The 14,786-nt window shown below is 41.2% G+C and overlaps 1 protein-coding gene across 1 annotated transcript, besides 30 other annotated features; it reads left to right on the top strand.

The window, feature by feature from the left end:
• Nucleotides 1–4,144: part of a meiotic recombination region, noted in NCBI's record as "meiotic double-strand break mapped by DNA meiotic recombinase 1 chromatin immunoprecipitation followed by single-stranded DNA enrichment and sequencing in the germ cells of some male individuals with PRDM9 A/A, PRDM9 A/B, and PRDM9 A/C genotypes", that runs on past the window's edge. NCBI's record gives the evidence for it as "EXISTENCE:chromatin immunoprecipitation-seq evidence [ECO:0000229][PMID:25395542]".
• VCX3A (variable charge X-linked 3A) lies at nt 217–1,717 on the top strand. The gene is made up of 3 exons (NM_016379.4): nt 217–377; nt 692–939; nt 1,132–1,717. The coding sequence occupies exons 2-3, from the start codon at nt 838–840 to the stop codon at nt 1,588–1,590; spliced, it is 561 nt and encodes a 186-aa protein (NP_057463.2). The 5' UTR covers nt 217–377; nt 692–837; the 3' UTR covers nt 1,591–1,717.
• Nucleotides 871–886: a nucleotide motif, noted in NCBI's record as "nucleotide motif; similarity, but not exact identity to the predicted 16-mer PRDM9 C-type binding motif, CCNCNNTNNNCNTNNC".
• Nucleotides 1,075–1,090: a nucleotide motif, noted in NCBI's record as "nucleotide motif; similarity, but not exact identity to the predicted 16-mer PRDM9 C-type binding motif, CCNCNNTNNNCNTNNC".
• Nucleotides 1,302–2,898: a non allelic homologous recombination region, noted in NCBI's record as "sub-region a, recombines with sub-region a' within the S232-VCX2 recombination region". NCBI's record gives the evidence for it as "EXISTENCE:nucleotide sequencing assay evidence [ECO:0000219][PMID:15888481]".
• Nucleotides 1,339–1,576: a tandem repeat, noted in NCBI's record as "variable number tandem repeat (VNTR); RU1 (repeating unit 1) with a 30 nt motif, and 8 repeat units in the GRCh38 reference assembly". NCBI's record gives the evidence for it as "EXISTENCE:nucleotide sequencing assay evidence [ECO:0000219][PMID:1549475]".
• Nucleotides 1,551–2,570: a tandem repeat, noted in NCBI's record as "variable number tandem repeat (VNTR); RU2 (repeating unit 2) with a with a variable number of a tetranucleotide repeat (GGGA, TCCC on the complementary strand) within the repeat". NCBI's record gives the evidence for it as "EXISTENCE:nucleotide sequencing assay evidence [ECO:0000219][PMID:1549475]".
• Nucleotides 1,744–1,756: a nucleotide motif, noted in NCBI's record as "nucleotide motif; similarity to the predicted 13-mer PRDM9 A binding motif (LD hotspot motif), CCNCCNTNNCCNC".
• Nucleotides 1,781–1,793: a nucleotide motif, noted in NCBI's record as "nucleotide motif; similarity to the predicted 13-mer PRDM9 A binding motif (LD hotspot motif), CCNCCNTNNCCNC".
• Nucleotides 1,814–1,826: a nucleotide motif, noted in NCBI's record as "nucleotide motif; similarity to the predicted 13-mer PRDM9 A binding motif (LD hotspot motif), CCNCCNTNNCCNC".
• Nucleotides 1,847–1,859: a nucleotide motif, noted in NCBI's record as "nucleotide motif; similarity to the predicted 13-mer PRDM9 A binding motif (LD hotspot motif), CCNCCNTNNCCNC".
• Nucleotides 1,877–1,889: a nucleotide motif, noted in NCBI's record as "nucleotide motif; similarity to the predicted 13-mer PRDM9 A binding motif (LD hotspot motif), CCNCCNTNNCCNC".
• Nucleotides 1,910–1,922: a nucleotide motif, noted in NCBI's record as "nucleotide motif; similarity to the predicted 13-mer PRDM9 A binding motif (LD hotspot motif), CCNCCNTNNCCNC".
• Nucleotides 1,943–1,955: a nucleotide motif, noted in NCBI's record as "nucleotide motif; similarity to the predicted 13-mer PRDM9 A binding motif (LD hotspot motif), CCNCCNTNNCCNC".
• Nucleotides 1,972–1,984: a nucleotide motif, noted in NCBI's record as "nucleotide motif; similarity to the predicted 13-mer PRDM9 A binding motif (LD hotspot motif), CCNCCNTNNCCNC".
• Nucleotides 2,034–2,046: a nucleotide motif, noted in NCBI's record as "nucleotide motif; similarity to the predicted 13-mer PRDM9 A binding motif (LD hotspot motif), CCNCCNTNNCCNC".
• Nucleotides 2,064–2,076: a nucleotide motif, noted in NCBI's record as "nucleotide motif; similarity to the predicted 13-mer PRDM9 A binding motif (LD hotspot motif), CCNCCNTNNCCNC".
• Nucleotides 2,094–2,106: a nucleotide motif, noted in NCBI's record as "nucleotide motif; similarity to the predicted 13-mer PRDM9 A binding motif (LD hotspot motif), CCNCCNTNNCCNC".
• Nucleotides 2,127–2,139: a nucleotide motif, noted in NCBI's record as "nucleotide motif; similarity to the predicted 13-mer PRDM9 A binding motif (LD hotspot motif), CCNCCNTNNCCNC".
• Nucleotides 2,160–2,172: a nucleotide motif, noted in NCBI's record as "nucleotide motif; similarity to the predicted 13-mer PRDM9 A binding motif (LD hotspot motif), CCNCCNTNNCCNC".
• Nucleotides 2,190–2,202: a nucleotide motif, noted in NCBI's record as "nucleotide motif; similarity to the predicted 13-mer PRDM9 A binding motif (LD hotspot motif), CCNCCNTNNCCNC".
• Nucleotides 2,223–2,235: a nucleotide motif, noted in NCBI's record as "nucleotide motif; similarity to the predicted 13-mer PRDM9 A binding motif (LD hotspot motif), CCNCCNTNNCCNC".
• Nucleotides 2,253–2,265: a nucleotide motif, noted in NCBI's record as "nucleotide motif; similarity to the predicted 13-mer PRDM9 A binding motif (LD hotspot motif), CCNCCNTNNCCNC".
• Nucleotides 2,286–2,298: a nucleotide motif, noted in NCBI's record as "nucleotide motif; similarity to the predicted 13-mer PRDM9 A binding motif (LD hotspot motif), CCNCCNTNNCCNC".
• Nucleotides 2,345–2,357: a nucleotide motif, noted in NCBI's record as "nucleotide motif; similarity to the predicted 13-mer PRDM9 A binding motif (LD hotspot motif), CCNCCNTNNCCNC".
• Nucleotides 2,404–2,416: a nucleotide motif, noted in NCBI's record as "nucleotide motif; similarity to the predicted 13-mer PRDM9 A binding motif (LD hotspot motif), CCNCCNTNNCCNC".
• Nucleotides 2,437–2,449: a nucleotide motif, noted in NCBI's record as "nucleotide motif; similarity to the predicted 13-mer PRDM9 A binding motif (LD hotspot motif), CCNCCNTNNCCNC".
• Nucleotides 2,467–2,479: a nucleotide motif, noted in NCBI's record as "nucleotide motif; similarity to the predicted 13-mer PRDM9 A binding motif (LD hotspot motif), CCNCCNTNNCCNC".
• Nucleotides 2,500–2,512: a nucleotide motif, noted in NCBI's record as "nucleotide motif; similarity to the predicted 13-mer PRDM9 A binding motif (LD hotspot motif), CCNCCNTNNCCNC".
• Nucleotides 2,526–2,538: a nucleotide motif, noted in NCBI's record as "nucleotide motif; similarity to the predicted 13-mer PRDM9 A binding motif (LD hotspot motif), CCNCCNTNNCCNC".
• Nucleotides 2,600–2,612: a nucleotide motif, noted in NCBI's record as "nucleotide motif; similarity to the predicted 13-mer PRDM9 A binding motif (LD hotspot motif), CCNCCNTNNCCNC".

Below are 14,786 nucleotides of genomic sequence, written 5' to 3'. Positions count from 1 at the left end.
TATTCATAAATCAATACTACATGATAGTAAATACATATTTATCATATATATTACACACTCACACACACACACACAAAAAGTATCCTGTTGGTTCAGTTTCTCCTTCTCTGAGGAACCCAGCCTGATACAGATACCCAGCTGAGCGAGTGTGTTTGCTGATCTTGACCTCTGGAAGCCAGTGCTTTAAACCATGAGAATGAAAAATTGTGAGGCACTATGTGGATGCTGGGAGAAGTATGTGAGATGGAAAAGTTGTTTCATGGCATCCAAGAAGTGAATGATCCTCAAGGTGTAGCAGAGGAATCTGTAGGAGAGAGGGATGATTGACGTCTTCGTATAGCCCTCCATCCATCCCAGTTAGCATGGAGGGATTTTAGGTAGGTCATACAGAAACTGGGTAATGATGGCAGGTGTGGAGGAACAGAATGTACCACTGAATGGGAGGTCCGGGGGAAACATGTGGGGGAAATATCCTCCCGTGCCACGTGATCTGCCAAAATTGAACACGGGGAGTTTAGGAGGGGTGACATGTCAGTTTGGGAACTATCTTTAGGGGTGCTAACCCAAATCTCCCTTTCTCCAATTAGAGCACCCTGCCTTCCTCATTAGATGTCACCCCCCCCCGCCCCCGACTTCATCCGCCATGTCCTGATGGTGCGTTGTGACGTATAAGGCCTTCCTTCCCACCCAGGGCTACCATTGGCTGGGTAGTGGAGTGTTGACCAATCACAGCTCAGGGGCGTGATTGTCTCGTCCTGGGATCGCGAGAGGGGTATATACAGGGAGGCCAGGCAGCCTGGAGTTAGTCGACCGTTGCGAGACGTTGAGCTGCGGAAGATGAGTCCAAAGCCGAGAGCCTCGGGACCTCCGGCCAAGGCCACGGAGGCAGGAAAGAGGAAGTCCTCCTCTCAGCCGAGCCCCAGTGACCCGAAGAAGAAGGTGAGTGACCCTCCCAAGCTCCTCCTCGTCTTCCCCTCGCCTCCTTCCTCACAAGAAGCCTCTCCTGTCGTCACTTGGCAGAACCCCCCAACCCGGCCCCCACCGCTTCTGAGGACACGTCCCTGTTCCCAGCCTCCTCCATCCTCGTCCCTAAACCAGAGCCCTTCTGTGATCTCCCTGTTGTCCTTCCAGACTACCAAGGTGGCCAAGAAGGGAAAAGCAGTTCGTAGAGGGAGACGCGGGAAGAAAGGGGCTGCGACAAAGATGGCGGCCGTGACGGCACCTGAGGCGGAGAGCGGGCCAGCGGCACCCGGCCCCAGCGACCAGCCCAGCCAGGAGCTCCCTCAGCACGAGCTGCCGCCGGAGGAGCCAGTGAGCGAGGGGACCCAGCACGACCCCCTGAGTCAGGAGAGCGAGCTGGAGGAACCACTGAGTCAGGAGAGCGAGGTGGAAGAACCACTGAGTCAGGAGAGCCAGGTGGAGGAACCACTGAGTCAGGAGAGCGAGGTGGAAGAACCACTGAGTCAGGAGAGCCAGGTGGAGGAACCACTGAGTCAGGAGAGCGAGGTGGAGGAACCACTGAGTCAGGAGAGCCAGGTGGAGGAACCACTGAGTCAGGAGAGCGAGATGGAAGAACTACCGAGTGTGTAGACGGCCAGCTACTCCCCTATCTCCGAGAGCAGCGACTAAGTTCAGGCCCAGCCGCCAGACCTCAGAGATCTCACCAGCGGGGTGCTTGCCATTCTGAAGATAATAAAATGAATGTGTTGCAAATTGATCTGAGTGACTCTGTGTTCTCTGATGGTGGGGAGGGAGGGAGGGAGGGGGGAAGAGGTGGTGTGTGGGGAGGGAGGGAGGGAGGAAGAGGTGGTGTGTGGGGAGGGAGGGAGGGAGGAAGAGGTGGTGTGTGGGGAGGGAGGGAGGGAGGAAGAGGTGTGTGGGGAGGGAGGGAGGGAGGAAGAGGTGGTGTGTGGGGAGGGAGGGAGGGAGGAAGAGGAGGTGTGTGGGGAGGGAGGGAGGAAGAGGTGGTGTGTGGGGAGGGAGGGAGGGAGGAAGAGGTGGTGTGTGAGGAGGGAGGGAGGAAGAGGTGGTGTGTGGGGAGGGAGGGAGGGAGGAAGAGGTGTGTGGGGAGGGAGGGAGGGAGGAAGAGGTGTGTGGGGAGGGAGGGAGGGAGGAAGAGGTGGTGTGTGGGGAGGGAGGGAGGGAGGAAGAGGAGGTGTGTGGGGAGGGAGGGAGGGAGGAAGAGGTGTGTGGGGAGGGAGGGAGGGAGGAAGAGGTGGTGTGTGGGGAGGGAGGGAGGGAGGAAGAGGTGTGTGGGGAGGGAGGGAGGGAGGAAGAGGTGGTGTGTGGGGAGGGAGGGAGGGAGGAAGAGGTGGTGTGTGAGGAGGGAGGGAGGAAGAGGTGTGTGGGGAGGGAGGGAGGGAGGAAGAGGTGGTGTGTGAGGAGGGAGGGAGGAAGAGGTGTGTGGGGAGGGAGGGAGGGAGGAAGAGGTGGTGTGTGGGGAGGGAGGGAGGGAGGAAGAGGTGTGTGGGGAGGGAGGGAGGGAGGAAGAGGTGGTGTGTGGGGAGGGAGGGAGGAAGAGGTGTGTGGGGAGGGAGGGAGGGAGGAAGAGGAGGTGTGTGGGGAGGGAGAAAGGAAAGAAGGAAGGAATAGGTGGTGTGTGGGGAGGGAGGGAAGTGGGGTCCCGTGGGGTTGAGGTCACAGGGACAGGTCACAGTTAGCCAGACAGGAGGATAAGGATTGCGTCATGGCTGAACACTGGAGACAAATTTCCCCTTCACAGGATGACTCCGCTTCTTACACGGTTTGTTTCTTCATGCAATCTTGCTAGCACATACACCAAGTACCAAGAACTGGATTCTACCTACTTAGGTTTCATTGTTAAAATACCTTTCCGGTTATAGAAACTGATGGAAGAATCGTTTCCATCTCTTTCCTTTCAGCGTCCCCTCCCTACAATCTAATATAATTAAGAAGAAAAATTCAAAATAGAGCAAAATCTATCTACTTGATAAAAGCCTTTTTATTTTTGCAACTGAAGAGACAAAAAGTACATTTCATATTTCCATACATTAGAAATACACAGGTCTTTTCTATATATAGTAGAATTTAGTATATACAAATATATGTAAATAAAATATAATATGCAACTATATTTACTATATACAAACCTATATAGATTATATATATTTATATATAAAAATGTAAATACAAATATAGAAATATAGATTATATATTTATATAATATACAAATATAAATATATAGATATAGATTATATATACACATGTTAGAAATACATAGGTCTTTTCTATATATACTAGAACCTAGTATACATATTTATATATTAATATATGTATTTTTATGTTTTTGTGTAGATTATATATATTTATATATAAATATATATTTTACGTATAAATACATATATAAAACATATTTATATGTAAATATATATGTATAAATACACATAAAACATTTATATGTAAATATATATTTTATGTATAAATACTTATGTAAAACATATTTATATTTATATGTTATATATAATCATTTATTTTAGAAGGTAAGGCGTTAGTATTGTTCAAGCATGGTTCTCAGGCAAAAGGAGAAAGGAAATTATTTTAAGAAGAAAAGAGTACAAAATTCTCCCAATTTAATTTCCAGTTGTTACTAATTACAGGGACAGAATAACTCATGCCCTTTAATCTTATAATGAATAGCACGTTAAACTTTTATGTGATTATGAAAACATGAATTTCCATATAATAAGGAAAGCAGTAATTTTATAGGCAGTTTTCACTTGTTACATAGATTGTTCTTAGAGCTTTAAAGATGTTAAATTAATGGTGTCTTTGAAGAGACGGTAGCATCATTTGAGAAACAACAAATGAGTTCTGTTTCATCCTTTCCTTGGTGCAGTCATGGCTTCACTTCATTAGCTTAGGAAGGGATTTCAGAGCTTTGCATGTTGATCTTGTAGCTGCCTCCTATGGAATCCTACGAAACCTAGGACGCTATACCACAGAAACAGGGCCTTGCCCCATGTCCTGAGCACCATCATTTTGTGGTATGTTTCTTTTGTATTTCTTATATGGAAATACCATATAAGAATGAGCATGCTTGGTATAACTCAAAGCCTGTTTATTTGCAAGGCTGTATTGACCCTGAACGATAAATATTTGTATGTTACGGATGGGAAACAAGTCTGCATGAAAAGCTCCTGCTGTCTTTTAGGAAAGCCTATTGGCTGTGGTTGTATATATCTTTCCAAAGGGAAATTGGTGAACTTCCTGCTATAGTTTTTTCCATAATGACAGCATAAAAACTGAAATAAACTCATCTTGTCAGTGGTCACTTTTGGGTTTGGTGTATATTAGGGAGCAATTTTGCAATGTGTTTCAAAATTACATTCAAGAACTAATTTTGTGCACCTTATTTTAATGCCATATTTCCATTCAAGCTCTGCATGTCACAACAGTCTGTGATGATTCTTTTGGCATTGAAAAAATTATCCATGGCACTTAAACTGTGTTTCTTTCATCATTTCATGGCAGTAGGAGCTTCAACTGCTATTTGTTGGGAACCCATCCTGACTAGCTCTTTCACTGGGGCTTCATATTTTATTGTGGTGATTGGCAGACTCGTGTTTCAGGCATTTTCAGCTTCAGAAAGTTGCTATGATTTTGAAATTATAAATGCAAAAATATCAGTGAATTTATTTTCACAAACTGTTTTAATTCATTATAGACAATAAGTGGTTTAATCAGAAATCAATATTTTAAATAATCTTTTAATTTGTTGGAGCATTCACAAATACTACATCTTCCTTTAAGTCTTTCTTTATTCTACATGTTATATACATAGTTAAATTAATAAATAAGAGTTTTAAATATTTTCCCTCCTTTTCCAACTACACACAAGCTCGGGGTTAAAATAAACAGTGGAATGAGTAAAGACCTGAAGTAATAGCAGTAAAACTGTAGTTGATTTTTATAATAAAATAATAGATATCAAAGCTTCCTAGCATTATAGGCAAATCTTCCTGTGTCCCTAAAGGGAGGATCCCCTTGACAACAGTCATGAACAACAGGTGATCTTGAGATTCTCAGCTGTCAAAGACAGTTTGTGGGAGAATTTGAAAACACCTTGTACATATTAAAGAGCTAAGCATGAGATGATGTATACATACATATGTCTCTGTCTCATTAGACCGCAGGAAATACGGCACATGGCAGGAAGGCTCATGTTGATTCCCCTTGACCATGCAGCTTCCTTTGCTCCTGACTCCTAAGAACTTTCTGACCTATTGGTCATTCCCAGCTTCAGATCCCCACGCATACGGATTGTTTTTGGCCCCACGTCAGTGATACACAGGACACAGAATTGCTCTCAAAAAACACTCTGGAATTGAAAAATGACAGGAGAAGCTCAACACGATGGCTGGGTGCCAGAGGGAAGGCCTTCCACTGTTTTGAACACTGATGCTAAGCTCTAGAATAAATGCAGCTGCAGCCTATCGGACCTGGGCATGTGTCAGGCAGGGTGTGAAATGCTCCCCAAGCACGACCTCATTTCTCCCTCACGTTACCCCTGTGGATTAATCGGGGCTCTAGAGAGACACCACCAACAGGTTATCAGCAAAGATAGATGAGAGGGGATTTATTAGGGGAATTAGAGGGTGAAAAGTCTCAGGACAGGCTGTCTGCAAGCTGGAGCCCCTGGGATGCCAGGAGCGTGACTCAGGTCACAACCAAAAACCTCAGAACTAGGGAAGTGGATGGTGTAATTCTCAGTATAAAAGGAGCCTGAAGTTCTGGTGTTCAAGGGCAGGAAAAGAAGAATCCCAGCTCCAAGAGAGAAAGGGAGGAAAGTGCCTTTCCTTTGCCCTGTTTCTTCTATCTGGGCCCTCAGAGAATTGGATGGGGCCTGTCTCTATTGAAGACATCTTCCCCACTCTGTCCACCAGCTCACGCCAATCTTCCCAAGAATACCTGTGCAGGCTCACCTAGAAACAATGCTTTACTAATTCCTGACGTATTCCTTAAGGCAGTCACGTTGACACCTGAAATTAACCATCACACCCTGTAAAATGGGTAGTGTCCCCACTGGACAAATGAGACAGACAGTTTGGGTACCTTTCTTATACTGCTTATAGGTTATAGAGCCAGGATTAAAACTCAGGTCTGCAAAGACCAAATTCTAAACTCCACCCTCTTAAGGACTGCTGCTCAACACTGTGGAAGTAGTACTGCATTAGACACTGTACAAGGATTGAAGAGGCATTCGAGACACATCCCCTGCTTTAGGGACCACATCCTAGCTTGCATTCATGACAGGAGTCATGTTTCTGTGACTCTACTATAGACCCCGGAACCAAGTGTGAATTGGTACGCTTTAGGTGTGCATACGCTCTGCAGAAATCCTAAGAAAGAGCCAGATAATTATAGGCTCGATTCATATAGGGAAGTTTTTATGAAAACAGCTTTTAGCCAATTCCTGAAAGAAAATATTTTTACTGGCAGAAAAATGTTCTGCTAGAGAATAACTAGTTGAAGGGCTTTGGGGGAAGGGGCTCTGGACACATGTCCACGGAAGTGGGGAAAAAAGACACACAGAATAGAAACAGAATTGGGGACCCTTCAGGAAGAGAAGTAAGGAAAAGTGCTAGCCCAGCAAGCTGATATGTAATTTTGAATCTTAACTAGATTGAGAATTTGGATACAACTCAAAACTAGAAAAGAGTAATTGCACTAAAAAAAAAATGGCCCAGAGCAGGGTAAATTAAAATAAAAATTCATTAATAATGAATTAAATTATTCATTCAACAAACATTTATTGGGCACCTACCATGGTCCAGGTAGAGGGCTACATGCTAATCAAAAAATAATAATCGCTGCCAGGACTGAGCAATGCCTGTGAGTCATCCTTAGACTGGTGCTGGAAGATAGATGGGGCTGTCTTATTCCATCCTGAGTTTACAAGAGATGACCCTGAGGACCAGCCAGGCTAAATAACCTTTTCCAGATCACCTAGTACTTGAACCGAAGCTTGTCTGACTCCAAAGCCCACACGTTCTCTGATACGCCATGCAGCCAGAAAAGGGCAGTGAAGTACTAAGGTTTGCTAAGGTGTTGAGTATATGGAATAAGATACTCAGGAGTATTTTTAAACTTGTGGTAAAACACACACGACACGACATATACACTCTTAACAAATGTTGAGGTGCATGGTACGGTATTGTTAACTATATGCCCATTGTCCTACAGTGGATCCTTACAACTTTCTGGGATGGTTAATATTGTCAACTTGGTTGGGTTGAAGGATGTAAAGTATTGTTCCTGGGTGTGTCTGTGAGGGTGTTGCGAAAGGAGATTAACATTTGAATCAGTGCATTGGGAGAGGCAGACCCACCCTCACTCTGGGTGGGTAACATCAAATCAGCTGCCATTGCGGCTAGAATAAAGCACACAGAAGAAACTGGAAGGAACAGACTGGCTGAGTGTTCCAGCCTTAATCTTTCTCCTGTGCTAGATGCTTCCTGCCCTCGAACGTCAGACTCCAAGTTCTTCAGCTTTTGGACTCTTGGACTTACACCAGTGGTTTGCCAGGGGCTCTTGGGCCTTTGGCCACAAACTGAGGGGTGCACTGTCGGCTTCCCTACTTTTGAGATTTTGGGACTCGGACTGATCCACCACTGACTTCCTTGCTCCTCAACTTGCAGATGGCCTCTCGTGGGACTTTACCTTGTGATCATGTGAGTCAATTCTCCTTAATAAACTTCCTTTCATATATGCATCTATCCTATTAGTTCTATCCCTCCAGAGAACCCTAATACAGCTTGGTACACCAAGGTTGCTGTGCAGTTCTGGGCATGACATGGGGGGAAATATGTGATGTGGAAGCAGAGAGACCGTCTCCTCTTGTGTATATCTACTAGTTAGGAAGACGCATCTCACAAGAGCCTTGCGGAAGACATTCTTCCTCATCTTATTAGCAACAATAAGTTTACTTGCCCAATTCCTGAGCTGGTCACCAGCAGGGGTACAGGGATTGCCTGTGGTTTCATCAGGTATCCCATGGAGATGCACATAGCATCAGCTATTTCATAGATGCTGCGCTGGCTACATGGGGATAAAATTAGAGGATAAGAACATGAACAGAATCACACATCAAAGTGGATGAATCAATGGGGAAATATATCCTGGAAGGCAACTGCTGATGTTCCAACGCATATATCTACAAGGGATTGTTGGTTTTTGTTTTTGTTGCCAACAGAATAAATTTTCTAATGGTATAAGACTATGAATGCCTGCTTTTGTTAACATCAAATTGAGCAAAAGTTTAAAAGGGTTAGGAAAAAATAGCATGATAATGTTTATGCATTCTTTGGATTTTATTTTCACTCTGCTGAACATGACGGAACTCAGTAACAACGGTCCTCTTCATATAGCAAAGTTCTTGCAAGAGGAGGAATGAAAGTAACCAAGCTGAAATAATAGCTGAAGACTTCCCATCCCTAACATGCATTGGACTTTGTAATTTTCTCATAAAAGAAACTGACTCCATTTGAAAAGTCTTTACACAAAATCCTCCCTGTTGCAGCCGTTGTCACCAATGGTCCATTTGAACAAAGACAAAGCAAATAAAGTATCATGAATTCAACTTAATTAGTCTCAGGGCATTTTCTTGGTTTTCTCCATGTAACTTACTAGTACCTCAGAATGTGAACTGGGAGGATCTTTTCTTTTTTCTTTTCTTTTCCTTCCTTCCTTCCTTCCTTCCTTCCTTCCTTCCTTCCTTCCTTCCTTCCTTCCTCTTTCTTTCTTCTTTCATTTTTGAGATACAGTCTTGCTCTGTCACCCAGGCTGGAGTGCAGTGGCACGATCCAGGCTCACTGCAATTTTTTCCTTTCTTTTCTTTTTTTTTCTTTTCCTTTCCTTTCTTTTCTTTTCTTTTTCCTTCCTTCCTTCCTTCTTCTTTGTTTTTCAAGATAGATTCTTGGTCTGTCACCCAGGCTGGAGTGCAGTGGCACGATCCTGGCTCACTGCAATTATTTCTTATCCCTTCCTTCCTTTCTTCCTTCCTTCCTTCCTTCCTTCCTTCCTTCCTTCCTTCCTTCCTTCTTCTTTGTTTTTTGAGATAGAGTCTTGCTCTGTCACCCAGGCTGGAGTGCAGTGGCACAATCCTGGCTCACTGCAATTTTTTCTTTTCCTTCCTTCCTTCCTTCCTTCCTTCCTTCCTTCCTTCCTTCCTTCCTTCTTCTTTCCTTCTTTTTTTCTTTTTTTCTTCCTTTCCTCTTTGAGATGGAATCTTGCTCTGTCCCCCAGGCTGGAGGGCAGTAGCGTGATCCTAGTTCACTGCAGCCTAGAACTCCTAGGCTCAAGTGATCCTCCTACCTCAGCCTCCCAAGTAGCTGGGACTTCGGGTGCACACCACCATGCCTGGCTAATTTTTGTATATCTTTGCAGAGAACAAGATCTTGCTGTATTACCAAGCTCATCTTAAACTGAACTCCGGGCCTCAAGAGATCCTCCCAACTTGGCCTCCCAAAGTGCTGGAATTACAGGTGTGAGCCACTTCGCCTGTCCCTGAACTGGGAGTTTTTATACCCATTTGCACTGAAGGATTGAGAAGAAAATTTGAGCATTCCTATACACAAATCAACCAAATGAAATGTGTCAGATTGTAGCACAGTGATGAATGTTGCCAATAAGCCCTAGTAGTATTTTTGGATATACAGCAACTTAAATGGGTTATTCTGAACTAATTAGCAAAGTACCTATAATTCTAGTTTTCAATAAACATAGATTTTCACTAAATTCTTTTCTTTGACTTTACCTACTCATAGACAAAGACGTTCCTTCCTGCAAAATAGCTATTAGACCTCCATGATTCAACAGGAGTGGCAATACTTGGGAGGGAAGCTTCACTCACAATTTTGATAGAATGACCAAGAAAAGTTTCATTTTTATTCCTGTATGTGTAAATTCCTATTTTTATTACTATTTATTTAAATTTTTATTTATGTGTTTATCCAATTCCCATCAGGAACTGCTGTTTACTCAATGCCTCCTCAATCCTTTTGCTTCTGTTTCTTCAGTTCTCATCTGGCCTCAATAGGAGCACTATCTGAATTCACTCTGGATTCATGGCCTGTCCTGTAATTTCTGTGTCCTATAAAGAAGGTGTCTTGTGACTGGTTGTAGTGACTCATGCCTGTAATTCCAGCACTTTGGGAGGTTGAGGTGGGCGGATCCCTTGAGGTCAGGAGTTCAAGACCAGCCTGGCCAACATGGTGAAACCCCGTCTCTACCAAAAATACAACAATTAGCCAGGTGTGGTGGTGCCTGCCTGTAATTCCAGCTACTCTGAAGGTTGAGGCACAAGAATTGCTTGAACCCAGGAGGCGGAGGTTGCAGTGAGCCGAGATCACACCACTGCTCTCCAGCCTGGGTGACAGAGTGTGACTCTGTCTCAGAAAAAAAAAAAAAAAAAAGTGTCTTGTGTTGCTTTGGGAAATCCCAATAATCAAATAGCCACTGCATTTCCTTGTATCTAAGAGACCTTCAATGATAAGACACACCCCTGTTGTTGGCCTCTGAAAGAGACTAAGTAAACATCGTCATTTAAACAGATGATACAATATTTTCTTATCGTTTATAATTTGTATTTTATACTTATTCAAACAGCACTTTTTTGTTTATTTAGTTACACCAATTTTGTGTATATATAAAAGAGAAATGAGATTAAAACACAAATTAGGTAAGGGATCCCTAAAACTTTTTAAAAACTCAAAGCAATCAGAGATTACTCTGAAGTTTACATTCTTGGACTCTATGGCATAATTTTCCATGTCATTAAATGCACTACTAACATGCCGTTTTTTGCTGTGTTTACCATTTATATGGAACTATAGCATACATACAGACAAGTGCACAAATAATTCATATGCAGCTTGATGAATTATCACAAGAGAACACACCTGTGCATGTACCTCCATCTTTGAAAAATGGTCAAGAATCTGGCAAGCAGATCCTCTCACCACTAACTCCTCTGCTTCCTCTCTACCAGCCTCCCAATTATGACCGCACCACAGACAAGTTCAGTATCTTTTTGATACTCAGTAAATTAAATCATAGAATAATTATTCTTTTGCATCTGGCTTCTTTTGCTTAGTGTTATGGTTGTGAGATTCGCCAATGTTGTGTGTAGTGGTGGTTAGCTCATTTTCATTGCTATGTGATATTCTATTGCATGAAAATACTCATTTATTGATTGATATTACTACTGATGAACCCTTGGTATGTTTCTCACTTGGGGCTATTGTAAATAATGCTGGTGAGCACAGTTTTGAAAATGTCTTTAGGTATATACCTAAAAGTGAATTTGATGTGTCTTGGGGTATGTGTACATTCAACTTTAGTAAATAATGACATAAACTCTTCATAGAGTTTGTATTAATTTACACTTCCACCAACAGTGGAATTCCCATGGAGGTTCTGTATCTGCTCTATCCCATCTGGTAGCCACCAGTCACATATACTTGTTTAGATTTAATTATAATAAAATAAAATTAAATATTAAATATTTAGCTCCTTAGTCCAAGTAGCCAAATTTCAAGGTCTACATGACCTCATGCAGCTAGTGGCTTCTATATTTAATGGCACAGAATGACCATTTTTGTCATCACAAAAAGTTTTATGGGACAGGACTGTTCTAAGTCCTTGCCACACTCAGTATTGTGAATGTCTTTAAATATGGAAATCCAGGTGAGTGTGTGATGGTATCACTTTACGGCTTCATTTGCATTTACCTGGCTGCTAATAAGTTTGAACAACTTTTCATGTTTCCTGCCTGTTTAGGAATTCTCTTTCATACAGCGGCCATGAAAGTCTCTTTCTTTTATTTGTATTTGGTTGTCTTTATTTCTCTCTGATGGATTTGAAGCCGCCCATTATATATTCTACTATATCAAGCTCTTTTGGGGGCTATAATTGTTGCAAATATCTCCTTTCACTTACAGCTTTCCTTTTCATTCACTTAACTGTGACTGCTTTTATACAGAGGTTGTTTGTTATCAGGCAGCAACAATTTACAATCTTTAACTGTAAGGTTAGTGTTTTTGTGCACAGTTTATAAAAGCTTGTCTACCCCAAGGACATGAGCTCTTTGTTTATTGAGATGGACACATTAATGAGTGCTGTGTAAAAAAGAAACCTGTTAGATATTCAGGATAAATAAGAAAAGTAGAAACAAATGGATTTCTGCCAAAAGGAGCTTTCATAATATGGTGCCATGGCCAAAACCGCAGTTACTTTTGCACCAGCCTAATAGACCACTGTGAAGGAGGCAAAATCCTTCCATGAAGATTCTAGAAAGAGTGCCATGGTACAAGTGATCTTTTAAAAAATATCTTATTTTTATCTCAGTCATATCTTTAATATGAGTACTCATGACATCTATTAAAGACGTGATATGATTTTATGATACACTTTTGCATTTTTATGACTAAAATTACATGCATTATTTCTGTGTATAAGTTAATTCTAATTTCATTGACATTATTTTATAGGCACGTGAGACCAGCATATTTACCAGAATTTAATATATGATGAGGCTATCTTTTAATAATAAAAGGGCAAGCTAACCATTTGATGGGAAAAAACAACATCAGCAAAACAGCAATTAGATAACTAGATCCTTGCCTCACATCCTATAGTAAATACATTTCAAGATGGAAATGCAGGTAAAAAAATAATAATAAATACATTATAAAATATAGATAAACATTGATAGAATTTGGGAATGTAGAAAGATTTTCTAAGCTCGACTCTAAATATGGAAATCAGAAGGAAACCACCTACTTCGGCTACCAGCACACACCCAGTTCTGCCATCCACCTCACCTTCCTCCCACCCCAAACCCCTAATTCCCCCCACACACATAATGGACACCAAGTCATCCTTGAGACAGTAGCTCCAACATCATTTCTTGCCCATATACACCAACTCTATAGATTATAGAATCTCCCCGGGGAACATTTTGATATCCCTTTATAACATTTATGAAAATTATTAGCTACATATTTATTTCTGTAATTTTAAAAATCTACCTTCTTATCTCCAACACTTTAAGGCCCTCATGAGAAAGACAAGGTGTATTTTTTATACCATTAATACTCTGGTAATAGCGTCTCTTGCCCATAGACAGGGCTCAACAATATTTTTTTAATGAAAGAGAAAATACTTATAAGTTTTACTATACAAATAAATGCTTCTCTATAACATAAAGGACATGTACAAATATGCAGAGACTAGCTTTTTAAACATGTGGCTTACATGTATTGAACAATTATTATATAAAGAGTTCTTAACATCAATAGAAAAATATTAATAAAATAAAATGTTGGATAAGGCTATAAAAAACTATTTGCAAATGCATTTATAAGACCCATAAACATATAAAAATGTTGAAAGTCACTGGTAAATAAAAACTGCTAGCATTTAAACACTGCATAAGTTTTCCATGATGTAACTGAAATATAATGGTAAATCATAGACAAGGTGGGCCAAGATATAGGGAAAAAGATACTCTTGGACACTTTTGATAAATGTGTTTAACATGTATTTATTGTAAGCCATTAGGAAATATATAATAAAGACCTTAAAAAGTCTTAAATGGGTTTCTGTAAACATAATTTTAGGAATTTAACCAGAAAAAAATAGCAGAAGTGGGAAAATCAATAATACGAAGGAATTTTGCAACACCAAAATATCAGAATGAATTTACTCTCCTATGATAGCTATTGATTAATTAGTTATGACACATTTATGTAAGAAAACACTGATAATGAACACAGATATAATCATTACATGTTGTTTAGTGGCTGGAATAAAAATAGAGCCCTAAATAAGGTTGACAGTTTTTGTCTCTAGTGTGGTACAATAGTGGGTGATTTTTTTTGAAAATTGGTTAATGGTATTCTCATTTTTCTACAATGAAATTATATATATGCATATATACACATATACATATGTATATATGATTAAGAAAATGTGGCACATATACACCATGGAATACTATGCAGCCATAAAAAGGATGAGTTCATGTCCTTTGCAGGCACATGGATGAAGCTGGAAACCATCATTCTCAGCAAACTATCACAAGACCAGAAAACCAAACACTGCATGTTCTCACTCATAAGTGGGAGTTGATCAATGAGAACACATTGACACAGAGAGGGGAACATCACACACTGGGGCCTTTTGGGGGGTAGGGGGCTAGGGGAGGGATAACATTAGGAGAAATACCTAATGTAGGTGACAGGTTGATGGGTGCAGCAAACCACCATGGCACGTGTAAACCTATGTAACAAAACTACACATTCTGCACATGTAACCCAGAACTTAAAGTATAATAAAAAATAAGTAAATAAAAAACAGCTTTGTTGAGATATAACTCACAGTTTGTACAATGCACCCATTTAAATTGTACAGTCCAACAGCTTTTATTCACAGGGTTGTGCATCCATCGCCATGATCCATTTTACAACTTTTTACTGCCCCAGAGAGAACCCAACATCTCTTAGCCATCATCCCCTCAACCCCTCCCCCTCCAATCTCTCCAAGGCCTGGACAATCAATGGTCTACTTTCTGTCACTATGGATTGGTCCATTAAGGATATTTCAGAAAAATGGAATGATATCATATGTGATGTTCTCCATCTGCCTTCTTCTACTTAATATAACATTTTCAGGTTCATCCATGTTGTAATATGTATCATATATAATACGTATGTACAATACATCCATGTTGCATATGTACATATATAATATGTATTCATATTATA

The sequence above is a fragment of the Homo sapiens genome, chromosome X (genome assembly GCF_000001405.40).
Source record: "Homo sapiens chromosome X, GRCh38.p14 Primary Assembly".
NCBI lineage: Eukaryota > Metazoa > Chordata > Mammalia > Primates > Hominidae > Homo > Homo sapiens.
The sequence above is the reverse complement of the archived record's forward strand: the minus strand, read 5'-3'. Positions and strand labels throughout refer to the sequence as shown.